General features: G+C 37.4%; 1 protein-coding gene and 1 long non-coding RNA gene across 10 annotated transcripts in view, besides 1 other annotated feature; one reads left to right on the top strand and one right to left on the bottom strand.

Annotated features, from left to right (window-relative positions):
• MTHFD2L (methylenetetrahydrofolate dehydrogenase (NADP+ dependent) 2 like) overlaps positions 1-24,252 on the bottom strand; it is a 188,540-nt gene extending 164,288 nt beyond the window's left edge. For 6 of the 9 annotated variants that reach the window (XM_047415712.1, XM_047415715.1, XM_047415716.1 and 3 more), the window contains exons 1-2: positions 24,155-24,252; positions 13,295-13,372 (exon numbers count right to left, since the gene is read on the bottom strand). The gene's annotated coding sequence lies outside the window, so the exon portion shown is untranslated. Of the gene's footprint in view, positions 1-13,294; positions 13,373-13,528; positions 13,583-15,388; positions 15,540-24,154 lie in introns of those variants that run through there. The other 3 variants (NM_001351310.2, NM_001351311.2, XM_017008218.3) reach the window with 2 other exon arrangements.
• LOC105377277 (uncharacterized) lies at positions 617-23,553 on the top strand. The gene is made up of 2 exons (XR_938878.2): positions 617-685; positions 23,107-23,553. It is a non-coding gene; the product is annotated as an uncharacterized LOC105377277 (long non-coding RNA).
• Positions 27,426-27,720: a silencer, noted in NCBI's record as "tiled region #14567; HepG2 Repressive non-DNase unmatched - State 23:Low". NCBI's record gives its function as "represses a minimal TATA promoter and a strong SV40 promoter by Sharpr-MPRA in HepG2 cells {active_cell/tissue: HepG2}" and the evidence as "EXISTENCE:reporter gene assay evidence [ECO:0000049][PMID:27701403]".

The following is a 27,993-nucleotide window of genomic DNA, read 5'->3' as shown; positions in this document are numbered from 1 at the left end:
GCTTTGGGTCCCCTCCCATTGTATGGGAGCTCTGTTTTCACTCCATTAAATCTTGCTACTGAACACTCTTCTGGTCCATGTTTCTTACACTCGAGCTGAGCTTTTGCTCACCATCCACCACTGCTGTTTGCTGCCCTCCCAGACCCTCCATTGACTTCCACTCCTCCGGATCCAGCAGGGTGTCTGCTGCGCTCCTGATCCAGCGAGGTTCCCATTGCCGCTCTGGATCGGGCTAAAGGCTCGCCATTGTTCCTGCATGGTTAAGTGCCCAGGTTTGTCCTAATTGAGCTTAACACTAGTCGCTGGGTTCCACAGTTCTCTACCATGACCCATGACTTCTAATAGAGTTGTAACACTCACCGCATGGCCCAAGGTTCCATTCCTTGGAATCCGTGAGGCCAAGAACCCCAGGTCAGAGGACAAAAGGTTTGCTGCCGTATTGGGAGCAGCCCGCCCCCATCTTGGGAGCTGCCTGCCACATCTTGGGAGCTCTAACAACAAAGACCCGCCTGTAACAAAGCCAGACAGAGAAGACTGGAATATTTGATACTTCAATGCAAAGACATAGATGTACATCGAAAAGAAATAATAGCAAAGGAGGAGCCATGACCAACCCAAACAGACAAAGCAAGGAACCATTGTCTAACCCTAACAAGACAGAGATATGTCAACTTTTTTTTGAAAGGTAAGGCCGAATTTACTTATTTATTTATTTTTCTTAAAATAAAAAAGTGTATGTGTATATATATATATATAAAATTTATGTATAAAATTTACCATTGTTAAGTGTAAAGCTCATTGGTAATAAATATATTTATATTATTTTTCCCCCCTCTCTTATTTCCCTCATTCCCACTGCCATTCTTGGTCTCTGGTAACCATCAATCTGTATCTTCATGATATCCACTTTTTTTAGCTCCCACACAAGAGCAAGAACATGCCATATTTGTTTGTCTGTGCTTGGCTTATTTCTCTTAACATAGTGATCTCAAGTTCCATCCATGTTGCTGAACATGACAGGCTTTCATACGTCTTATGATTGAATAATATTCCATTGTGTATATGTACCACGTTTTCTTTATCCATTCCTCCATTTATGGGCACTTAAATTGATTCTATATTTTGCCTATTGTGAATAATGCAGCAGTAAACATGGGAATGCAGATATCTTCTTGATATATTGATTTTTTAAATGTATATACCCAGTAGTGAAATAGCTAGATCATATGGTAGTTCTATTTTCAGTTTTTTGAAGAACCTCTGTACAATCTTCTGTACTGGCTGTACTAATTCCCACCAACTGTGTATGAGAATTCCCCTTTCTCCACATCCTTGCCGGCATCTGTTATTATCTATCTTTTTGATACAAGCCATTTTAACTGGGATGGGATGATATCTCATTGTGGTTTTAATTTGCATTTCTCTGATATATAGTACTGTTGAGCATTACTTTAATATAGCTGTTAGTCATTTGTATATTTCCTTTTGAGAGGTGTCTATTCAGACATGTTGTCCATTTTTAAATTAAGGTTTACATTTTTTTCCTATTGAATTGTTTGAGATTTCTATATACTCTAGTTATTAATCCCTTGTCAGATAAATAGCTTGCAATTGTTTTTTCCCATTCTGGGTTGTTTCTTCACTCTGTTGATTGTTTCCTTTGCTATTCAAAAGTTTTATAGTTTGATGTAATCCCAATTGTCTATTTTTGCTTTGGTTGCCTGTGCTTTAGAGGTTACACAAGAAATCTTTGTCCAGATCATTGTCCTGAAGTATTTCCTCAGAGTTTTATTCTAGTAGTTCATGGTTTTAGGTCTTAGATTCAAGTCTTTAATTCATTTTGATTTAATTTTTGTGTATGGTGAGAGATAGGGGTCTAGTTTCTTTCTTCTGCATATAGTTATCCAATTTTCTCAGCACCACCTATTGAAAAGGCTGACCTTTCCCCATTTTAGGCTCTTAATGCCTTTGCTGAAGATGAATTGGCTGCAAATGCATGGATTTATTTCCAGATTATTATTCTGTTTTATTTATCTGTCTGTTTTTATGCCAGTACCATACTGTTTTGGTTACTATAGCTTTGTAATAGATTTGAAGTCAGGTAGTGTGATGTATACAGCTTTGTTCTTTTTGTTCAGGATTGCTTTGGCTATTTAGGATCTTTTGCAGTTCCATATGAATTTCAGATTTTTAAAACATTTCTGTGAAGAATGTCATTGGAATTTTGATGGGGATTGCAGTGAGTCTGGAAATTGTTTGGGGTAGTATTGTCATATTAACAATATTAAGTCTTCCAATCCATGAGCGGAGAATATTTTTCCAATTTTTTGGTGCTTTCTTCTATTTCTTTCACCAGAGTTTTATAGTTTTTCTTGTGTAGGTCTTTCACATCTTTGGTTTCAATTGATTCCCAGGTATTGCATATTCTTTGTAGTTTTAAATGAGATTGCCTTCTTGACTTCATTTTTGGCTAGATCAGTCTTGGTGTGTAGAAACACTACTAATTTTTGTACATTGATTTTGTATCCTACAACTTTACTAAATTCCTGTATGAGTTATAACAGTTTTTTTTGGTAGAGTCTTTAGGTTTTTCTGCATATAAGATGAACAAAGCTAATTTGACTTCTACCTTTCCAATTTGGTTTTCCTTCATTTCTTTTTCTTACCTAATTGCTCTGGCCAGGACTTCCAGTATTATATTGAATAACAGCAAAATAATAGTGAAAGTGGGCATTCTTATCTTGGTCTAGCCTTTAGAGGAAAGGCCTTCAATTTTTCCTTGTTAAGTGTGTTGTTAGCTATGGGTTTGTCATAGATGGCTTTTATTATTTTCAGGTATGTTTCTTCTATGCCCAGTTTGTTGAGGATTTTTATCATAAAGGAATGTTGAATTTTATCAAATGCCTTTACCTTTATGGCATCTATTGAAATAATTATATGATTCTCATTCTCGATTCTGTTAATGTCGTGTATAACATGTATTGATTTGCATATGTTGAACCATCCTGTATCTCTGGAATGAATTCTACTTGACAATGGTAAATGAGTATTTTGCTGAAGATTTTTACATCTGTGTTCACTGGTGATATTGGCCTCTAGCTTCTTTAAAAAAAAAATGTGTCCTTGTCTGGTTTTGGTATCACAGTAACACTGGCCTTGTAGAATGAGTTTGAAAGTATTCCCTCTCTCCTCTTTAATCGTTTTGAAGTATTTGAATAGAATTGGTATTAGTTCTTTAAATGTTTGGTAGAACTTAGCAGTGAAGTTATCAGGCCGTGAGCTTTTCTTTGATGGGAGACTTTTTATTATGGCTTTGATTTCATAACTCATTATTGGCTTATTGAGGTTTTCTATTTGTTGATGGTTCAATATTGGTAGGTTGCATGTGTCCAGGAATTTATCCATTTCTTCTATATTTTCCAATTTGTTGGCATGTAATGGTTCCTAATTGTTTCTAATGATTCTTAGTATTTCTGAGGTCTCAGTTGTCATGTGTCCATTTTTGTTCCTACTTTTATTTATTTGGGTCTTCTCTCTTTTTTTCTTATTCTGGCTAAAGATGATTTGGAGCTCCTTTATATGCTGCTTGCTTCTTTTCTCTTGCTGCCATTACAGTTTTATCTTTATGCTTGATCTTTGACAGTTTGATTAGTAAATACCTTCATTAGTCTTATTTGACTAATGTGATGCTCTAAGGCCTTCCTGTACCTGAATATTTATATCTTTCTCATGTTTTGGAAAGTATTCTCTTATTATTTCTTTGAATAAGCTTTCTACCCTTGCTCCTGCTCTGCTCTCTCTTGAACATCAATAATTTTTAGATTTTGTCTTTGAGGTAATTTTCTATATCTTGTAAGTGGCCTTCTCTCATTTTCATTCTTTTTTTCTTTTCTCTCCTCTGTTTATTTTTTAACAGCCAGTCTTTGAGCTCATTGATTCTCTTCTCTGCTTGACCTATTCTGTGGTTGAGATCCCCTGAAGAGTTTCTTAGTTCAGCAAATGTAGTTCTTAGTTACAAGATTTCTGCTTATCATTATTTCAATTTCCTTGTTAAATTTCTCTGATAAATATCTGAGTTGCTTTTCTGTGTTATCTTAGAGATAACAAAGTTTCCTTAAAACAGCTGTTTTGAATTCTTGGTCAGAGAGTTCACAAATCGCCATCTCAGGAGGGTCAGTCGCTGGAACTTTGCTTTGTCTAGAAGGTTATGGTTCCATGTTTGCTGTTGTTTCTTGTGGGTATACATCTATGTATTTGTATTAATAATTATTTAGTCCAGCTTTATCTGTCTAGTTTGGTTTGGTTTTTATTGAATACAGTTGCTTATGAATCTTAACTGCCAGCTTGCTGCCTTGTTTTCGGCTCTAGATGGCGCCATAAGCCTATGTTTACCTTGACTTTTGCAAATGGCCATGGCACTGCCTGTCCCATAAGGAGGAGGACCAAAGGGATTACCCTAGCACTGTGGGAAGGCCGGCCACGGGTGTGTTCCCAGGGGACTTGTGGAACATACTTGCTACATGATTTCTACTGATTTGGCATCTCCTTTGGTCAAGTTACAAGGAGTTTTTACGGCTGAGGATGGTAGTCCTGGCTTCCCTATTTGTCTTTGCCAGCCTTCACAGACATTTCTCCCTCCAGGCAGTCACAGTGCTACCTGTGGTTTAAGGCAAAGGCAGGTCTCCTGGCAGGAAACCGAAGAAGATGGGAAAGCTGGTTGACAATCTCAATTTCACGTTTTTCAGTGCAGAAACCATGAGTTGAGGGCAGATTTTTCATACTGCTGATGCCTGGTGTAATGCAGGGAAGAGGCCTCATGGATGTAGAATCTGGTTCTCCTACCATCTGCTCAGAATGTTTCCACTTCTCTGTACCTACAGGAACTGTCTCATCCTCATACAGGATCTCTGGGTTGCTGCTGGTGAAGATCTTGCTGCTGTGTATTTCTTTTTGGTTTCTGGTGGAGGGGAGAGAAGCAAGCTTGCTTCTATGCTGCCATTTTGGGATTAGAAAACCGATATGTGAACTTTATAACTAAGAATTCAAAATAGCAATTTTAAGGAAACTCAGTGACCTACAAGATAACATAGAAAAACAATTCAGATACTTATCAGAGAAATTTAACAAGAAAATTGAAATAATAATTTAAAAATGAAACAGAAATCTTGGAACGGAGAACCACATTTGCTGAATTGAAACACTCTTTAGAGGATCTCAATAACAGAATGGGTTAGAGAAAAGAATCAGTGAGCTCAAAGACTGGCTATTAAGAAAATACAGTCCAAAGAAAGAAAAGAAAAAAACAATAAAAAGAAATGAAGGCCACCTTTAAAATATAGAAAATTACCTCAAAAGACCAAATCTAAAAATTATTGGTGTTTAAGGGGGAGCTGAGCAAGAGCAAGGGGAGAAAAGCTTATCCTAAGAAATAATAACAGAGCACTTTCCAAAACTCATGAAAGACAGAAATATCTAGATATAGAAAGGTCAGGGAACACCAAACAGATTCAACCCAAGTAACACTAACCAAGGCATATAATAATTGAACTTTCAAATATCAAAGACAAAGAGAAGATCCAGAAAGCAGCAAAAGAGTAAAATAACAAAGCAACTCCAGTTCATCTGGCAACAGACTTCACAATGGAAACCATGTAGGCCAGAAGGAAATAGGGCAGCATTAACAAAGAGAAATTGTCTTTCACAGACAAAAGCTAAGAGAATTCACCACTACTAGACCCGTCTTGCAAGAAATGCTAAAGGGAATTCTTCAACCTGAAATTAAAAAATGCTAACATATTAGTGTACTAACTAAAAGAAAATATTTCAAGGTATAAAACCCACTGGTAAAATTAAGTATGAACACAACCCCAGAATATGCTAATAATTTAATTGTGGTGTGCAATCCAATCATAACTCTAGTAAGAAGCTTATAAAGACAAATCTATCAAAAACAATAATAGCGACAACAACCTGTTCAAAATAGATATTTTTAAAATATGCGAACTGATATAATAAAAATTCAAAGTGTTTGTGGGAGGTGTGGAGTTAAAGTGTAGAGCATTTTTTTCATTATTATTATACTTTAAGTTCTGAGATACATGTGCAGAATGTGCAGGTTTGTTACATAGGTATACATGTGCTATGGTGGTTTGCTGCACCCATCAACCCGTCATCTACATTAGGTACTTCTCCTAATGGTGTCCCTCCCTTAGCGCCCCACCCTCTGACAGGCCCTGGTGTGTGATGTTCCCCTCCCTGTGTCCATGTGTTCTCATTGTTCAACTCCCACTTATGAGTGAGAACATGTGGTGTTTGGTTTTCTGTTCTTGTGTTAGTTTGCTGAGAATGATGGTTTCTAGCTTCACCCATGTCTCTGCAAAGGATGTGAACTCATCCTTTTTTATGGCTGCATAGTATTCCATGGTGTATATGTGCCACATTTTCTTTATCCAATCTATCATTGATGGGTATTTGGGTTGGTTTGACATCTTTGCTATTGCTATAGTGCTGCAAGAAACATACCTGTGCATGTGTGATTATAGTAGAATGATTTATAATCCTTTGGGTATATATCCAGTAATGAGATTGCTGGTCAAATGGTATTTCTGGTTCTAGATCCTTGAGGAATCGCTACATTGTCTTCCATAATGGCTGAACTAATTTATTCTCCCACCAACAATATAAAAGCATCCCTATTTCTCCACTTCCTCTTCAGTATCTGTTGTTTCCTGACTTTTTAATGATTGCCATTCTAACTAGTGTGAGATGGTATCTCATTGTGGTTTTGATTTGCATTTCTCTAATGACCAGTGATAATGAGCTTTCTTTTTATATATGTTTTTTTGGCCGCATAAATGTCTTCTTTTAAGAAGTGTCTGTTCACATCCTTCACCCACTTTTTGATGGGCATGTTTGTTTGTTTTTCTTGTAAATTTGTTTAAGTTCTTTGTAGATCCTGGATATTAGCCCTTTGTCAGATGGATAGATTGCAAAATTTTTCTCTCATTCTATAGGTTGCCTGTTCACTCTGATGATAGTTTCTTTTGCTGTGCAGAAGCTCCTTAGGTTAATTAGATCCCATTTGTCAATTTTGGCTTTTGCTGCCATTGCTTTTGGTGTTTTAGTCATGAAGACTTTGCCCATGCCTGTGTCCTGAATGGTACTGCCTAGGTTTTCTTCTTGGGCATTTATAGCTTTAGGCCTTATGTTTAAGTATTTAATCCATCTTGAGTTAATTTTTGTTTAAGGTGTGAGGAAGGGGTCCAGTTTCAGTTTTCTGCATATGGCTAGCCAGTTTTCCTAACACCACTTATTAAATAAGGAATCCTTTCCCTATTGCTTATTTTTATCGTTTGTCAAAGATCAGATGGTTGTAGATGAGTGGTGTTATTTCTGAGGCCTATGTTCTGTTCCATTGGTCTGTATATCTATTTTGTTACCAGTACCATGCTGTTTTGATTACTGTGGACTTGTAATATAGTTTGAAGTCAGGTAGCATGATGCTTGCAGCATTTTTCTGTTTGTTTAGGATTGTCTGGGCTATATGGGCTCTTTTTTGTTTCCACATGAAATTTAAAGTAGCTTTTTCTAATTCTGTGAAGAAAGTCAATGGTAGCTTGATGGGATAGCATTGAATCTATAAATTACTTTGGGCAGTATGGCCTTTTTCACAATATTGATTCTTCCTATCAATGAGCATAGAATGTTTTTCCATTTGTTTGTGTCCTCTCATTTCCTTGAGCAGCGGTTTGTAGTTCTTCTTGAAGGGTCCTTCACATCCCTTGTAAGTTGTATTCCTAGGTATTTTATTCTTTTTGTAGCAATTGTGAATGGGAGTTCACTCAGGATTTAGTTCTCTGTTTGTCTATTATTGGTGTATAGGAATGCTTGTGATTTTCGCACATTGATTTTGTATCCTGAGACTTTGCTGAAGTTGCTGATAAAGCTTAAGGAGATTTTGGGCTGATATGATGGGGTTTTCTGAATATATAATCATGTCATTTGCAAATAGAGACAATTTGACTCCCTCTATTCCTATTTGAATACCCTTTATTTCTTTCTCTTGCCTGATTGCCCTGGCCAGAACTTCCAATACTATGTTGAATAGGAGTGGTGAGAGAGGGCATCCTTGTCTTGTGCCGGTTTTCAAAGGGAATGCTTCCAGCTTTTGCCCAATCAGTATGATATTGGCTGTGGGTTTGTCATAAATAGCTCTTATTGTTTTTAAATTTGTTCCATCAAGACCTAGTGTATTGAGAGTTTTTAGCAGGAAGGGTGCAGAATTTTATTGAAGGCCTTTTCTGCATCTATTGAGATAATCGTGTGGTTTTTGTCATTGGTTCTGTTTATGTGATGAATTACATTTATTTTTTTGCATATCTTGAACCAGCCTTGCATCTCAGGAATGAAGCGGACATGATCATGGTGGATAAGCTTTTTCATGTGCTGCTGGATTAGGTTTGCCAGTATTTTATGGAGGATTTTCGCATCAATGTTCATCAGGGATATTGGCCTGAAGTTTTCTTTTTTTTGTTGTGTCTCTGCCAGGTTTTGGTATCAGGGTGATGATGACCTCATAAAATGAGTTAGGGAGGAGTCTCTCTTTTTCTATTGTTTGGAATAGTTTCAGAAGGAATGGTACCATCTCCTCTTTGTACCTCTGGTAGAATTCGGCTGTGAATTTGTCTGGTCCTGGGCTTTTCTTGGTTGGTAGGCTATTAATTACTGCCTCAATTTCAGAACTTGTTATTGGTCTATTCAGGGATTCGACTTCTTCCTGGTTTAGTCTTGGGAGGGTGTATGTGTCCAGGAATTTGTCCATTTCTTCTAGATTTTCTATTTTATTTGTGTAGAGGTGTTTATAGTATTCTCTGATGGTAGTTTGTATTTCTGTGGGATCAGTGGTGATATCCCCTTGGTCATTTTTTATTGTGTCTATTTGATTCTTCTTTCTTTTCTTCTTTATTAGTCAGGCTAGTGGTCTATCTATTTTGTTAATCTTTTCAAAAAAAACAGCTCCAGGATTCATTCATTTTTTTGAAGGGTTTTTCGTGTCTCTGTCTCCTTCAGTTCTATTCTGATCTTAGTTATTTCTTGTCTTCTGCTAGCTTTTGAATTTGTTTACTGTTGCTTCTCCAGTTCTCTTAATTGTAATGTTAGGATGTCGATTTTAGATCTTTCCCACTTTCTCCTGTGGGCATTTAGTGCTATAAATTTTCCTCTAAACACTTCTTTAGCTGTGTCCCAGAGATTCTGGTATGTTGTGTCTTTCTTCTAATTGGTTTTAAATAACTTATTTATTTATGCCTTTGTTTCATTTAGTTATCCGGGAGCAGATTGTTCAGTTTCCATGTAGTTGTGTGGTTTTGAGTGAGTTTCTTAATCCTGAGTTCTAATTTGATTGCACTGTGGTCCAAGAGTCTGTTTATTATGATTACTGTTCTTTTGCATTTGCTGAAGAGTGTTTTATTCCAATTATGTGGTCAATTTTAGAATAAGGATGATGTGGGGCTGAGAAGAATGTGTATTCTGTTGATTTTGGGTGGAGAGTTCTGTGGATGTCTATTAGGTCTGCTTGAGCCAGAGCTGAGTTCAAGTCCTGAATATTCTTGTGAACAGTTTTGTTTTTTAGTTTTCTCTTTTATTTCTATTTCATTTGTGATCTAAGTTGTCATCTCCTTAAAATAACTTGTTATATTTAAAAGATGTTTATTGTAAGCCTCAAGGTAACCACAATGCAAAAACCTATAATATTACAGTAAAAATAAAAAAACAATGAATTAAAAGCTTACTGTCAGAGAAAATCACTTAACCACTAAGGAAGATGGTAATAAAGGAAGAGAAGAGTCTCAGAACAACCAGAAAACAAGAAACAAATTGTCAGTAGTAAGTCCTTACTTGTCAATGATAGCACTGAATACAAATGGTCTCAATTCTCCAATTGAAAGTTATAGAGGTGCTGAATGGATAAAGAAACAAGACCCAAGTACATGCTGCCTTCAAGAATGACAAGCAATTTAGAGATTCAATGCAATCCCTGTCAAAATTCTGACTTTCTTCCCATAAATAGAAAAAAATTCTCAAATTTACATAGAACCACACACTAAAAAATTCCCTGAATAGCCAAAGCAATCCTGAGTAAAAAACACAAAGCTGGAAGCATCACACTATCCAACTTTAAAACATACTACAAAGGTATGGTAACCAAATTAGCATGGTTGGTAGAAAAACAGACATGTACACTAATGGAATAGAATAGAGAACCCAGATATCAATAAACACATTTATAGCCAAGTCATTTTTTACAAAGACACCAAGAATAGACAATGGGGGAAGGGCAGTCTCTTTCATAAATGGTGCTGGGAAAACTGGATAACCATATGCATAGAGTGAAATTAGACCCCTATGTCTCAGGCTATACAAAAATGTAATCAAAATGAATTAAAGACTTAAATCTAAGACCTGAAACTATGAAGCTACTAGAAGAAAACATTGGGGAAACATTCTAGGACATTGGGCTGGGCAAAGCACAGGCAATAAGAACAAAAATTGACAATTGAGATTACATAAAGCTAAAAAGCTTCTGCACAGCAAGAAAAACAATCACCAAAGTAAAGAGACAGAATGGGAGAAAATTTTTATAAACTATCCATTTCACAAGTATTAGTAACAAGAATATATAAGGAGCTCCAACAATTCAATAGCGCAAAACAAAATAATCTGATTTTAAAACGGACAACAGATCTGAACAGACATTTCTCAAATGAAGGCATACAAATGGCCAACAGTTATATGAAAAAAATACTCAACATCACTAGTCACCAGAAAAATGCAAATCCAAACCACAATGAGATATCATCTAACCCCACTTACAATGGCCTTTATCAAAATGACAGGTAATAACAGATGCTGGCGAGGATGGAGAGAAAGGGAAACCCTCATACATGTTGGTGGGAAAGTAAATTAAAATGACCACTATGAAAAACGGTATGGAGGTTCCTCCAAAAACTGAAAATAGAACTACACATGACCCAGCAATTAACTACTGGGTATATATCCAAAAGAAAGAAAATCGGTATATCAAAGAGGTATCTGCAATCCCATATTTATTGCAGCACTATTCACAATAGACAAAATATGTAATCAACCTAAGTGTCCATCAATGGATGAGTGTATAAAGAAACTGTGGTATATATACATAATTGAATATTTTTCAGCCACAACAACTAATGCAATCCTGTCATTTGCAGCAACATAGATGGAACTGGAGGTCATTATGTTAAGTGAAATAAGCCAAGCACAGAGAGACAAATATGGCCTATTCTCACTCATATGTGGGAGACACAAAAGTAGATATCATGAAGATAGAGAGTAGATTGATGGTTACCAAGGCCAAGAATTGTTGGAAGTGAGGAGGAAGAACAGAGATTGAATAGTGAGGACAACTATACAGTTAATTGAAAGAAATAAGACATTGTGTTCCATAGTTCAGTAGGGTAAGTCAATCTATTGTACATTTCAAAATAGCTAGAAGAGAATAATTCAAATGTTCCTGGCACAAAGAAAAGTATTTAAGGTGATGTACATCCCAATTACCCTGATTTGATTGTATTAATTCAGTCTCACACTGCTATAAAAAACTGCCCCCAAACTGGGCAATTTATAAAGAAAAGAGGCATAATTGACTCACAGTTCGGCAGGGCCGGGGAGGCCTCAGGAAACTTACAATCATGGCAGAATGCACCTCTTCACGGAGCGGCAGGACAGAGAATGAGTGCCAAGTCAAAGGGGAAGCCTCTTGTAAAACCATCAGACCTCATGATAACTCATTCACTATCAGGAGAACGACATGGGGGAAATCGCCCCCATGATTCAATTACCTCCCACCGGGTCCCTTCCTCGACACATGGGGATTATGGGAACTGAAATTCAAGATGAGATTTGGATGGGGAAACAGCCAAACCATATCATGAATGTATCAGATTATCACAAGTATCCCCAAAATATGTACATCTATTATGTATTAATGAAAAAATAAAAAAATATAAAGTATACAATAATCATACAAGTACATGACAATAAAAGATATCGTATGAGCTCAGGGAGGGCACCATATTTTTTATGTTTGTTTTTGAATTATATACTGGTAGGGGGTGCTTCTTACATATTCATTCCCTGACTTAACTTTGTTGTAATAAACTTTAAAGTTGCACTATCCACCTCTTCTTACGTCTATGGCCACACACACACACACCAGAGAAAAAGTGTGACATTAGAAACAAAACTAGATATTTTAAGAGATTTGATGATGGACAGCAAGGTGTGGATATTGGAAGACTCATGTTTACTCCTCACTAGGATAAGGAGTAAACATCCCTCCCCACATCACCCACCACTACTATGACCTTTGTCACTCACAGATTCACCAAAAATTGAGTAATTATCTTCTTTTTATTAATCTTTCCGAAATGTATATATAGTTCACATATATTTCAGTGTTTAATATTAGAATTATTTTGATCTTTATTTGGCAGTTTGATGATGTTTTGTGACTAGAAATATGCCTTAGAAACTTAACTATTATTTCTATCAAATAAGTTATAATAAAATCTGTTTTGCTATTCATTTCATTTAAAGTCACAGTTTCCAAGAATTTATTGATGAGGTTAAGTGAGGACTTACAGTACACTGCTTTAGTGGGTCATTAGTTAAAGACTGCGCCCAAGGCCATTAATTTTCCAATATTTCCAACCTGGGCCTTGCTAGTATAGTGGACGCTGGTAACCAGAGAAAGCCCTTGGAAGACAAAACAGTGAGCATTGAAGTGGTGCAGATCAGATGATATGGGTGGGTATCCAATAGCATAGGCTATAGCTCTAACTTTTATTCACTTCGAGTTTTGTTAACATATTTAATAAGAAATTCTTGGAAACCATGGAAGAATGCTCTTTAATTTTTTCTTATTCATTTTTCCTTATTTCTAAATACAAGTAAAATTTTTAAAACCATAAATTAAAAGAGAATAAACAAATTTTGTTATGCTTTTGTTTTGAGAAATCAATACTCTTTGAGGTTTGCTATATTGCTCTACATTTTCCATTATTAAAAAAGCAAATTACTATCGCTAGCATTTTTTCTATCATTGAAAAAAAAGCTTTTAAATAGAAGCAAAAAAATAAATAAAAGTGAGATTCCATTAGGTAAAACTCTTAAACTGACATTTGTGAATCTTTCCTATTAGTTTCATGACAAATGAAATTTGAGAAATTTGAGAAAGTGGGAAAAACTAACTCACCTCCTTCAGACTATCTGCACAACCTTCTTAAATTTGCTGTATGTTCAGGCAGAGGTCTCTTCATGAATAAGCTTCACACTAAAGAGTGAAAAAGACTACTTAGGTAAATTACTTATCTGGTTTTAGATATCCCTTTGCAGTTGGAAATCATGGTCATTTGGCTCAGTGGTAAATGGAAATGATCCCAACAGGATTTTTTCACAATTTTCTGGGAGCTGCAGGAACCCCACTTACTTTTCCAAAGGCCACTGATTGCAGCTTTCACAGTGAAAGGAATTCCCAGGATACCTGGAGTCATATTACTTGGGTTAATCAACATGTACCTGGAGTTGCTTCACTCATGCTAATTCCTATTTCAAATTTAATTATCATTTTCGAAACTTTCTTGTGCTTCTCTAATTACTTTAACTCTGCAAAATGTCAGATTATCTACCTCCCCACAATGTGTTTTAGAATTTGCTTATATCAAAAAATGAAAGTATTGCTCTGGAATTCAGAAGCAAGGGAGACACAATAGCTAAAACTAACCAGATGTCAGTACCATGTTATTTGTAAAGACAGAATTTTTTTTTTTTGCTGTTCTGTTTACCATTGTACTCTCAGCACCTAAACAGTCTACATGTACAGAAGCAAAATAACTAAGAACTTTTGAAAGTACTTACATGATTTCTTAATTTTTATAATATAATCCACTCTGAATAATTCTGAGTTCTTTAATAAATTTGGGATGCAAAGGTATAAAATGTGTCCTCATGCACTGGCATTGTGGTACTGTACTAATACTTGGCACAATGGAAGCAGTGAACATAGCAAGGAAGTAAGGACTGCTTTCATCAAAGGGCACAACTCTGCTAGATACCCTTTAAATTTGAATATGATGATTTTTAGGACCATGAGAAATGTCTTAACGAAACAGGTTGCTACAAATAGAAAGACTAGTTTTAGACCAACCCTTGAAATTAATTTCCTTTCTTTCAAAATGATTCTCACTGACTATTTTGAATGTCAATATAAAAACTAATATATAAATATATAAATACATAAAACTATAAATTTATTAAAATTAATATTTTATATCCATATGGCCATTCTTCTATTTGATTTTGCAGTATTCTTCATGATGCTATAATGTTATTTATAGGAGATAAACAATGATCTTATCAACAGATATATCACCTTCAGAAAGAATAAACAGAAACATGACTATTTTACAGAGATGACTTGTATTTTTTTTAAAAAAAAACTTTTAATGCTGATAAAACGAAAAAGCAAATACAGAAAACGCATGCTAAAAACACACTATTTGTTATATAGCAGGATCTTAAGATGGTCTAGGGCCCATCAAAACTCTTCAAAGCAGGCAGAAAATGATTACTGTCTAAGCCTTTGTCAGCAGAACACTGAGTAAAAATACGTGGTTACCTAGTTCAATTTTAACAGGCAATATTAACCAACTGTGCCCCCCAATGGAATATAATATAAATTATAAATGAATATAAGTATATATAGTGATATATGTGTTATAGGACAAGTTGTGAATTTTAGCAACTAAATGTCTACATCAATGCAAATATTACACTTTTCTGAGAGGTATAGAGATAGAACCTAAATAATTCCAAATTTAATGCAAATTAGGGGTAACTTATGCATTAGGGCCAGTAGGCATAGTGCCTAGGGCCCACAATAATTTTAGAAGCCCATGAAATTGTTTTAATTGCCTTTAAAGTCGGAAGAAAAACATGAAGTTTTAGAATCTAAGAAAGTGTTATTTTTTTCTCACAACAGAAATAAAGAAATTTTTAGGGCCCATAAAAATCCCCTAAATTTTACCTAAAACAGAAAAAATGTTGAAGCATTCTAAGTTACATAAAAAAATTTTAAGTATTGATATTATGATGGCTGAAGAGTCCCACAAAGGTAAAAATGTCTAAGGCCCACAAAAGTTATTTTGTACTCATGACAACATCAAATGAATGCAAATGGGGATTTTTTTTTGTTTTAATAAGCAAATCTCAAAGCATTTTGGATAGCCTTGCTTTCGGAGAATCATATTTAGACAAAAGAAAACTCTATTGATTAGAAAGATGAGCCTACCTTCACACAGTGCTACAGAAAGCATGCAACTGCCAAGAAAGCAGTAGAGCAACAGCCAGCTTAGAAGTCATATTTACACTGGATTGTTTCTTTCCAGTTTCCCACAGTCCCTAGACACTGGAGTGCTTAGCTGTCCCTGGGGACTTGTTGTGCTGGCTGGAGTGCTCCTGAGGCTTTTTATATTATTGCAACACTAAATGTGTGTGGCTACTCATCCTTGCACTATGTTACTGGAAATTACACAAAATTCAATATGCCACTATGCACTTTGAAACTAACACTGGCAGAAACAAACACTCCCAGGTCTCAGCAAATTTTCAGCATGCTTAAAATTTAACCTGATTTAATATAACTGTTTTGTTAAATGTACACACCTCTCAATTTGATTATTTTTGTTTGAATTCCTAATTTTATAGCATTCATACTTTGAAATAAACTTAAAACTTATATGGAAAAGTTGAAAGAAGAGTCTAAAGAATTCCAGAATTTTTTTGCCCAGATTATCCAGTATTTCCTAAGAACAAGAAAATTCTCTTATAAAAGCAGAATACAACTATCAAAACTAGGAAATTAATGGTGATGTAATGCTAATACCTAATCTATAGATTTTATTCAAATTATGACAATTATCCCAATAATATCCTTTACCGTTATGGGTGGATAAATGGATGGATAGATAGATAAAACTGTTTCAGGATCCAATGCAGATTCAAGTATTGCATTTAGTTGTCATGTTGCTTTAGTCTTGTTTATTCTGGAACAATTCCTCAATTTGAATTTATCTGATGTTTCCTTATGATTAGGTCCATTTTTGGCAGCAATATTCCAGGGTGCTGTTGTGTACCTCTCAGTACGTTTTATTATAATATATCCCTGTTATGGTTGGCTCTGTGTCCCCACCCAAATCCCAAGTTGAATTGTAATTCCCAGTGTTGGGGGAGGTACCTGGTGTGAGGTGATTAAGTCATGGGGATGGATTTCCCCCTTGCTCTTCTCATGACAGTGAATTATCATGAGATCTGGTGGTGTAAAAGTGTGTGGCACTTCCCCATTCACTCTCTCTCTCTCCTGTCACCATGTGAAGATGTGCTTGTTTCCCCTTCACCTTCTACCATGATTATAAGTTTCCTGTGGCTTTCCAGCCATGCTTCCTGTACAGCCTGCAGAATTGTGAGTCAATTAAACCTCTTTTCCTTATAAATTACCCAGCCTCAGGTAGTTCTTTATGGTAGACTACAATTTGGAATACAACCCCTATTTCCAAATACACAAAAATAATTAAAAGGATTTCTCCCCAGGAAGTAGGACATTAAAATATGTTTATGTCCTAGAAAAAAAAAAGAATTGCTGAATATATTAGTTTGCTAGGGCTGCTGTAACAAAATGCCACAGACTGGGTGGCTTACACAACAGGAATTTATTTTCTCACAGTTCTAGAGGCTGGAAGTCCAAGATCAAGGTTTCAACAGGTTTGATATTTTTCTGAGGACTCTCTCCTTGGCTTGAAGATAGTTGCCTTCTCATTGTGTCCTCACATGCAATGGCCCCCAACCTTTTTGGCACCAGGGACCAATTTCATAGAAGACTATTTTTCTGTGGATTGGGATAAGGGGATGCTTTAGGGATAATTCAAGTGCATTTACATTTATTGTATACTTTATTTCTATTATTATTACATTTATAATATATAATTATACAACTCGCCATATATATAATTAAATAATTATATATTTTTATATATTATATAATTAAATATATATTTAATTATATATAATTATATATGTATAATTAAATAATTAATTATATATAATTAAATAATTAATTATATATAATTAAATAATTATACAACTCACCATAATGTAGAATCAGTGAGAGCCCTAAGCTTGTTTTCCTGCAACTAGATAGTCCCATGTGCAGGTGATGGGAGGCAGTGACACCTGCAGTATATTGCTTATGTCCAGTCTACTCCATAATCTCATTGTGGTTGCTGTCGCTGCAGAAAACCCTACTTCACAAAGATAGGATATTGGAAATGGAAGCAGGATTTTCAGTACTTTTGTGGCAATCTCAGGATATTCCACCTTGACTTTAATCCAGAATGTATGGAGATTTGAAGTTGTCTCAAACATACTTTTAAGGGCATTGTCATTTGCCATCTCAAGCAGTTGATCCTCTTCTAGGATGGACAAAGTCAGTTCACTTGGCTTATTCACAAATGGGTCACAGATTCATTCCTTCCCAGTTCTAGGGTCTTTTGTAGTTAGAAAATAATGCTTAAACTCTTTTGAAAGCTGAGACAGGTGATCATGCACTAGCTGGGAGAAAGAAGGCCATGGCTCAGTCTTTTTCAAAATCTTTGCTAATTTTGGAACATGTCAAAAATCTCACTGTTCACTTGTTGCCCCCATAATTCCACTTTGGCTTTGAATGCAGCCCCTCTATCTGCCAACTTGAACACAGCTGTCATTTTCCTCTGAAGTGAAAGATTGAATTCCCTGAACAGGTTGAATATGTCACACAAGTAAGCAAGTTTTTTAACCCATTCTGTGTCACTGAAATGTGCTGCCAGTGGTGTCTGTTTTTCTAAAAGAAGTCTCTGGAGTGGCTCTCATAACTCAAACACTCTGGCCAGTGATCTACCTTTAGAAAGCCATCTCACTTATGTATATAAGAGAAGACTGTGTGCTCTGTGTCCATCTCCTTGCAGAGCTGTGTGAACAGATATGAGTTAAGGGCATGCACTTTAATGTGGTTAATAATTTTAATCACACCTTGCAAAACATTGTTAAATTTAGGTGACATTTTTTGGCTAGCCGACATTTCTCTACGGATGACACAGTGTGAAGAGTTACATTCAGAAGTGACCTCATTGACCCAAGTAGTGAAACCAGAAAGCTGTCCAGTCATGGCAGTCGGTCCGTCCATGCATATACTGACACAAAATGACCAATTGAGTTTTCCTGATATGCAATCATTCAAAGACTTGAATAGTTCTGCAGCTATGGTATTAGTTGGCAACAAAAGTGCACATAACATATCCTCATGCACATCTTCTGAAAAATATATTGCACAAAAGTAAGCATTGTTGCCTTACCAACATTGGTAGACTCATCAACCTGAATCATGTACTGCGGTGGCTCATTAACTCTCTGTAACAATTGTACCTCAACATTCTCTGCTATTTCATCTAATCATTTAGTTATGTGCTAGCCAAATGAGAAACACATGCCACCTTTTGAACTGCAGCCTCTCCTGAAAGTTCATGACATATACCCTTAGCAGCAGGCAAAATCAACTCTTCACCAATAGCAAAGGGCTTCTTAACTTTAGCAATGTGGTTAGCCACTACGAATGATATGATGCTGTCAGTACAGACACATTTGATAAAATGGTGGCCTTCAATAATTGCTTCTGTTCTTCTTGTTCATCTTTTTTTTTTCTTTTGAAAAACTCCAAAGTCTTGTTTAACACAGGGTGCTTGGTTTCCATGCAGTGAAGCAGTTCTGAAGGTTTCATGGCTTCATTGCATAGCCAACCACCACATATTATAAAAAGAGGGCTTGGAGAATGTGAATTATCTGGTGCAATGACCCTGTAATTTAAGTAGGACTCATGGTATTTTGTTTTTTTTGTTTTTTTTTGAGATGGAGTCTCGCTCTGTCACCCAGGCTGGAGTGCAGTGGCACGATCTCGGCTCACTGGAAGCTCTGCCTCTCAGGTTCACGCCATTCTCCTGCTTCAGCCTCCTGAGTAGCTGGGACTACAGACACCCGCCACCATGCCCGGCTAATTTTTTGTATTTTTAGTAGAGACGGGGTTTCACCTTGTTAGCCAGGATGGTCTCAATCTCCTGACCTCGTGATCCGCCCGCCTCGGCCTCCCAAAGTCCTGGGATTACAGGCATGAGCCACCGCGCCCGGCCAGTATTTTCTTTTAAATGCAGCTTTCTTTTTGTTGGCAGTCTTAGAGTCTTCTGCTGTCTCATCATTGGTTCTTTCCCACTTTTCAAAGAAACTCTCCAGTGATGATTGTTTTTATTCATTTTGGCTAGGGTTAGCTTGTGGGCTTACCAAAACTGATTGAGACAAGTGTGCAGTGCAGGAAAGAGGTGCGGATGGAAGTGACAAATAAAATAATGGGCAGGACACACATGGACTAAAATAAGTGTCAGATTCTGACTTAAAGCCTGCCACCAGATGCAGCTGTACAGTTGAAGTACATCAACTCACTTGCCACTATAAAGCCAGCAACCAGATGCAGCTGTACAGTTGAAGTACATCAACGCACTTGCCACTATAAAGCCAGCCACCAGATGCAGCTGAATTATCACCTGCCACTCACTGACAGGGTTTTGATATGCGTCTGCAGGCAACTGATTTATTATGGTCTCTGGGCAGTCAAACCTCTCTGCTAATGTTAATCTGTGTTTGCAACCACTCCTCAGAGCTAGCATCACCACCTCAGCTCCACCTCAGATCATCAGGCATTAGACTTTATAAGGAGCATGCAATCTAGATCCCTCTCATGCGCAGTTCACAATAGGGTGTGCACTCCTATGAGAATCTAATGCCACCACTGATCCGACAGGAGGCAGAGCTCAGGAGGTAATGTGAGCAATGGGGAGCGGCTATAAATACAGATGAAGCTTTGCTCCCTTGCCTTTGGCTCACCTCCTGCTGTGTGGCATGGTTCCTAACAAGCCATGGACCACTGTCAGTTCTTGGCTCAGGGTTTGGGGATCCCTGCTCACATGACCTTTTCTCTGTGTGGTTGCATCTCTGGTGTCTTCTCCTCTTCTTATAATGACACCAGTCATCTTAGATTAAGACCAATCCACATGATCTCATTTAATCTTAACTACCTCTTTAAAGGCCCTATTTCTAAATACAGTTATATTCTGAGGTGTACTGAGAGTTCAGACTTTAACACATTTACAGGGAATGCAATTCAGTCCATAATACTTAATGAAATGCCTTTGCTCTGTTTCTACTGATATTTATTTTGTTTTATAAGAAAAGTTTCAGTTCCTGGTATACTGTGCACTGTTGAAGAGCCTTTGCAGTAATTACAATTAAAAAGTACTTTATTTTTATCTGGCACCAATGAACAGCTGAGGCCTATGTATTTTTTCGTGTGAATCAGGAGAGGACAAAAGAGGGTTAAAATCTGTATTAATGTGCTCACTAGACAAGAAAAGCAAACTTTTATTCTATAAGTGTTTAGTTTTTGATATCTTTAACTTTTGATATTTTACTAAGCTTAATTATTTGTTCATTAACTTAATAATGTTATTTAATAGAATCAGTGTTATTCATAATTTCATAAATACTTTTTCAACACCCTATGTACCAAGCACGGTTGTAGGAGTTGTAAGTACAACAGTAAATAGGATATATGGGAAAGATATATAAGAAAGATATATAAATAAGATATCTCTTCCCTTATAGGTCTTTCAGTCTAGTGAGGATATGAAGTGGCAAGTAAAATGTAGTCAGCAGAGTATTATATCATCGATAAGTACAGAGTTCATGGAAGCAAATGGACAGGACTTTGCATCTGTTTGGTGGGAATTGATATAGAGACTGAGAATTAGGGTTGAGCATAGAGTTCTTAAGACAAAAGTGATGGGTGAAAAGAAGAGGTGACAGTCCTCAGAACCACAGAGTGTTTACATCTGTGTGCTCTCTCCTTTAGAAACCCTGGGCCTGCTGCGGAAGCAGCTCTCATGAGGGAAGTTGCTGCATGGACTTTCAGGCCACTGAGTGACTCTTCTTGCAAAGAAATGACCCCAAATGTTTGAACCTTTGAACATGTGCTCAGGGAAGCTATTGATCTATATATAGATCCTGCATATAACCTATGCATTCTTTAAAATTCAATCCAAGCAGCAGCCCTACTTGAACGCTTCCTGAAAGATCATTCTTTCACCCTCCACCTCCCTGTACAGATTAAGATCTGAAGGTTTGTTCTCCAGGCCTGGGAACATTTCTGTACCCTGCAGCCTGAAAACCCACTGTACCTTTTCTTAACTGACTTCCTGGTTGATTTCCTCTTAACAATAGTAGCTGAATCTGAATCCCAGGAACCTCACACATAGTAAACACTCAAGAAAAATCTGCTAAACAGTGTTAGTCTTTCACAGTCATTCTGGGTCAGCAGCCAAAAGATTCTGTGTCCGAGGCCAGGTTCCTTCTGTTGGCTCCATTCTAAGCTCAGCATGCCATGACTCACTGTTTCCTAGACAATGTCATTTGTTGTCATGGCTATGAAGCCCCGTCCACTTGTGGACTTTCCCAAGGACTTCAGAATCTCCCTTTAAAATCCCTTTCTCCAAGCATTTCCATCACAGAGGCCTCAAGATCAAAGGAGTTATAGAATATTGTTACCCTGAGGATAAATCAGCTATTGCCAAACATTTCCCACATGAACTTTGCTTTCAGCATCTACAAAAGAGAAAACGATATGTGGTTTACTTTATAAACTTGGTGAAATAAAACCTAACAAGCTAATTTTAATGTAGCAGACATGAGTGTCATTTAAGTGGAGAACCAGAAAGATAGAACGGTATCTATATGCCTAGTGCAAACTACCACTTTAGTGTCAAGGAAAGAAAAATCTCTTTGAACCAAAGCCAAGGAAAACTTTTCATAAAATCATGTAGGTCTGTTTCATCGTTTTGGCCATACAAGAGCATCTTCTTTCATTTGTTACTGTTACTAGTCACTAGGGTCACAGTTGCTAACCTAAAAATAAGGATGAACACTTTTAGATAATTTAAAAAACAATGCCAATCAGATAAATCAAGACATAACCACAATCATAGGTAAGTGTATCATTAAGCTAATTAGAGCCCCTCCCTAGTTCAGGCTTTTTTCAGGGCCTTGGGAGGGCCTAGGAATGTGCTCATGTGGTCATATAGTTTTATGCAATTTGCTGTGAAGTCATATATTTAATCAAGTTGATTAGGACTGCTTTTTTTTCTCTCACTCTGACTTTATTTCTTTACAGTTCTCCTTATATTGGGTGATGTTGGAGTAGCTAGTCATGTTTTTGAGATGTGGCTGGGGGAAGTTGAGTTGAGGGTACTCGAATTTAGTTTAGCTTTAGTGATATGTATTTTATTGGTTGACAGTTATGTTATGAATGGTTCTGTTTTTACTAGCCATCCTGGTGTGAGACTGGCTCCCAGGTATACTCCTTTGCTTACTGTGCACACTCACTCAGCGTTCTGATGCAGAAATCAGAATGTGTCCTAATATACACAATACCAAAATGATGCAGGTATGGAAGAGACAAGGTTGAAATGCACAGATCCAGGAGCTAGTGTGGAGAATATTATTCCAATAATCAGAGTGAAAAATCATAAGCAGATAATTCACTTTATATCAATCCTAGACAAAACAAACCCCTCCCCTTCAGGAATATACTCAACAATACAGGGTCTTTGATTACAAATACTTTATATTTTTTCCCCTTATTTGATTGGAATGATCATGTTCAATTGGAATTTAATAATGTTTCATAGAATATCAGAATTTCTGTGTTTGTAGAGCATGTACCTGTAGTAGCACGACAAACGGTGAGTTCATCCGTATGTGATGCTGCATACTTTATGCATTCAGCTATCGATAATAGCTATTTTTATTGATAAATGTAATTTAATTTAATCACTTATATTTACATTGCTAATATACACGAGTATTTCTTTCAAACCACAGGTTAACACACACTAAAGGGCAATGCCATTAAAGGAGAAGAGGAACTTTGGAAACTGCTGTCTGAAAGGAAAGCAAAGCACTCTTCATTAACAGCTAGTGGGCTCCTAATTTCTGCCCATGAAGGCATGTTCATACTGACAGAGCACCCCCTCAAGGGGAAGAACCATCCGCGCTAATTCTTGTTGTCCTCTTCTGAGCTAGTGTGCTCATTGTTCATACAAACTAGTGTGTCAACATTAAAACAAAAAGGGAGTTGAATCAATAAATGACTTGGGAGGCTGTCATACTTGTAACAACTATGGCGACAGAAGAACACTGGCTGTAGTATTTGGTATTAGCATTGGTGTCTGGATCTATAACTAAAAAAGCTTCTTCATTTCTCCAAACTAATAGATATGACAGATATTGCCACACTTAGCTCTACTTAAATAAATATTCTAAACTCAATCTCAAATCCACTAATGGAATTTCTGTCGCAGTCTCTCCTATGGTCAAAAAATAATTAGAGTAACAGAATAGTAGTTTTATACCAGATAGATATTTGAAGAAGAAATAGTCATCATATATACTTAAATATTCTCAAAATGTCTCCCTTGCCCTCCCCCTAATACCATCATTTCTTTGTTTCAGGGAAATGGCATTTTAATAAAACACTTACTGTGATGTACCATTTACTGGGCAAGGGCAGCTGCCTGGCCAAGGTGAAAGAGCACAGAAGCAAAGACTTAATGCTTTGATCTAGAATCCTGGCTCCACAACTTCTCTGAGTCCCAGTTACCTCATCTATCAAGGGCTAATAATCCTTCTTTTTGAGGTTGGTGTGAGAATCAAATGAATTAATCCATAGAAAAAGCCAGCACACTGCCTATCCTGGAGCATGTATTTTAATTCCCATGCTCTTTGCAGCTTTGCCCATGACCTCCACTGAAGCCTCAAGACCCACAAACCTAGACATTAATTTGTATGCTAATAATCTCCTATGTTTGTGAGAGAGTTTGGAGCTTTCATAGTCATCTACCATTGGTAAGAGAGAGGTTAGCCAGCTTACCTGAGGTCCCACAGCTGGTCAATTACAGGGCTGAAATGGTGAACTGTAGGTCCGGTAGGCTACCTGCTCTCCACTCTCTCCTACACAGCCTCTCACATAGCTTTGAGGGGGAACAAGCAGTGCTTTTCAACAAAGGAAAGTGTGCTGAATCCATGAATCATTACTTTGGCCTAGAACATTTCAAAAGAAGAGCTTAAGGCAAAATTTAAAATTATAAGAGAAAATAACTTCTACTTCTCTGACCTGTTTTTTTATCCCAGTGATGGTGACTCACCTCCTTTGCTTCAGGCATCTTGCTTGAGTGCTATAGTGCATCATAGGATATGCTCATCATGGAAAAACAAACCCAGTACCCAAGGAAAAAAACCAAGCCCCCACTAGAATGTCAGCTCCATAAGGGCAGGGATTTTTCTATTTTGTTTAGTGATGTCTCCCAAGTTCTTATGATACCACCTGGAACATAGTAGGTGCTCTGGTGAACGAGTCAGTTCTATTGAATAAGAATGAGAATGTGAATTCTAACATCACAATGGAATCTCAGGCAACGGTGATCTGGCCCTTAGTCTGAATTCCCATAGTGCTTAGGAAAGTTGGCCTGGAATTGCTATCAGGGATCAGGTGAGGTGTCAGGTGGTCTCCATCTACACTGCAAACTCTTCTAGGGCAAGGGCAGGACCTTGTCTTTCAGCTCAATGCTAATCCCCAGCAGGTGTATTTTAAACAGACACATACACATGCATGCATATATATATATATATACGCTTTGAGAAACTGATATTTGTACAAATTTGAAAGTAGTTTTATAGGCATATTTCTACATAATAGATTCAATTTGGCGTAAACCACAGTAATATGGGTACTTAAAAAACAATTCAAAATGCCAATGATCTGCAATCTAGTCACCTATGTGTTGGTATCTTTTAACCAAAAGGCTAAGTACCTGTATTGGGCCATTTATGAGTCACTATAAAGGACTATAAAGCACTATAAAGGAATAACCATGACTGGGTAACTTATAAAGGAAAGAGGTTTAATTGGCTCATGGTTCTGCAGGCTATGCAAGCATGACTTCAGCAACTGCTTCTGGTGAGGGCCTCAGGAAACTTACAATCACGGCAAAAGAAAAAGGGAGAGCAGTGATTGTCACATGGTGAGAGAGAGATCAAAAGAGAGAAGAGGGAAGGTCCCAGACTCTACAACCAGATCTCACATGAGCTAACTGAGCAAGAACTCACTTATCACCAAGGGGAATGGTGCTAAGCGATTCATAAGGAATCTGTCCCCAAGATCCATTCCCCTCCCACCAGACCCCACCTCCAACATTGGGAATCACATTTCCACATGAGATTTGGAGTGGACAAACATCCAAACTATATCAGTATCTAAATTAGAAGATTGTACAGAATTAAAGTCAAAGGAGATGGAGAGTTTTGAGGGCTCTTTCATCAAGGTATGGTGAGGCTTACCAGAGGCCACCTCCTGGTCAACAGTTCAGGGTCCCTCCTCCCCATTCCACCACTTGGCTATTTTTATGTTTGTGGTAACTATATTTCATGTTGTGGATAGTAGTTTAAATAGGATGGCATTCTATAAAAAAAATTTGAAAAAATGGTGACAAACTTTAAGCAAATAAATAATAAGAATGTTTTTCTAAATTACATAAAAACAAAACTTTTCCATCTAGTTTGGGATAACATTCTTCTATGGCTTCCTGGGTTGTTCCTCCAATGACTCTTTTTGGTGTGTGTGCCTTCTGAGTCACCTACCCTTGCCTTCTCCTATGAATTTGGACACCATACTTTCAAAATAGAGGGCAAGATATCCAGTCCTTGCGATGTATTGGAGAATAAAATTTTTAAAATCAAAATGTCACAGAAAACAGAGAATGAGAATTTACCAAGTTTGTAGACTAACATACTGTTACAGGACTCCTTCAGTGCTGCTTCACCAGCTGGAAATCTCTGTGGCTGCTGTGACCTCTGCCTGTAGTCTTGCCAAGGCCTGCTGGGCTCACTCTTCCCACTCAGCCTGATGGGCTGTACTCAGCTTGTGCTACCTGCTTGGATCCCACATCTGAACAGGGACTCTGTGTTTTGCCTGTGGCTAAACTTGGCATGCCACAGGCAGCTTTTGCATTGGGAGCCGGAGTCTAGATGAGGGGAATGCAGTGGCACCTGAAAACTCAGAGATGCCAGCAACTGTGGAGCCCCAGGTGATGTTACAGCTCTCGCCTGGGGAATCCTGAGGTCTAAGCTCCCAAGAAATGTTGCAGCTTTTGTAGTTCAGCAAGCTGGCCAGGAGGGAATAGTGCCTAACTGCTTCACTTCTTTGAGCCTGCAGCTCGGAGGATGGAGGCATGTTACAGCTCTCCCTGCTGCCTGCAGCTTGGAGGATGGGGGTGTGTTGTGTTACAGCTCATTTGTACCTGCTAAATAGGGGCATGCGGCACCCAGTGGTTTTTTTCACTCCTGTAACTCAGTGAGCAGGAGTATGTGTTACACCCTTTTGGCATGTTCCGGGTTCTTGTCCTGTGACCAAGAAGAATGACGTACACAGACACCGGAGAGTGAGCAAAGCAGAGAAGAATTTTCCTGAGTGGCAGAAAAGCTCTCAACACAAGAGGGGACTTGAAGTGGATGGTCCTCTGTGTGAGAGGAGGCCCAAAAGCAGGTGGCTGTCTGTAAGGCTGAGTTTGGGGTTTTTATGGGTTCAGAATGGGGGAGTGTATGCTGATTGGTCCATGGGTGGGCCTGGAAAAAGCATCATTATATTGGCTAAAAGGCATCGAGGAAATTCTCACTCTGGTCATGGGCTCTACCCCGAACTGGCAGCTCAGTTTTCAGTCTTCAGGCTGTCTTTGGCTTGGAGATCAGGTTTTACCAGGGACGCATCCCTGTCTGCCTAAGAATTTGTCTATCTCCTGTTGCTATCAATATAGCCAATGTGACCAGCTATTTCCAGGTCAAATTATGTCACTACATAGTGTGGCATGTGAAGATCCTAACTATACCCAGATAGATTATTATAAGTATCACCTTCCCCATTCTTATGTTCTAGTCTCCAATAGAACATATCAACTGCCAATTCATCAGAAATACTACCAACAACAACAACAAAAAACCCCTTCAATCAGGAAACGTTAAATTTATTAGAATTACTCAACAGGAGGAACAATGCTCTGACAGCATTTTAGTGTCTCAGAAGGAGGATGTTCAGAGAATTGGACTCAAAATGTTTAAAACTGATCTGACAAGGTAGGGAATGGACTGGAATTGGGCACAGTTGTTGACATAATAGAGTTAGTGGACAAAACAGGTGAGGGTCTTGCTAGAAAAAGCGAACTTGTCTGAGGAGTGATCTGCTGGCTCAGATGTGCAAACTGATGTCCTGAATAAACTGACTTAGAAGAATTTCCTCAAGCAAATGGCAAAGTTCTCCATGAGCTTAGTTTTATTTTCTATGTAAGAATTTCCTGGAACAAAGAGTTAAGTCATACTAATACAAATAATGTTAGTTCTCAAAAGAATGCTCTAAAAAGTAGAGAACTTCTTGGTAGTCTCAACTCCTGGAACAGTACCTAGTATAAAATAAGTGCACATAGAAATATATCTGGTAGTCAAAAAATATTTGTTGAGTTGAATGAAGATTATCTTGGTCCTAATTATAATGTTAATTAAGATAGACATTGTTGCAGATTTGAAAATGCCCAGAAGAGGAAGCCAGGGATCTGAATTCTAGTACTGATTCTACCACTAACTGCTAATCTGTCTGAAACTCTGTTTACTCACCAGACTAATGAGCAAATTAGACTACATTATTTCTAAGATCCCTTGAATTCC

The sequence above is a fragment of the Homo sapiens genome, chromosome 4, assembly GCF_000001405.40.
Source record: "Homo sapiens chromosome 4, GRCh38.p14 Primary Assembly".
NCBI classification, from domain to species: domain Eukaryota; kingdom Metazoa; phylum Chordata; class Mammalia; order Primates; family Hominidae; genus Homo; species Homo sapiens.
This window is presented reverse-complemented; position numbering and strand designations above follow the sequence as displayed.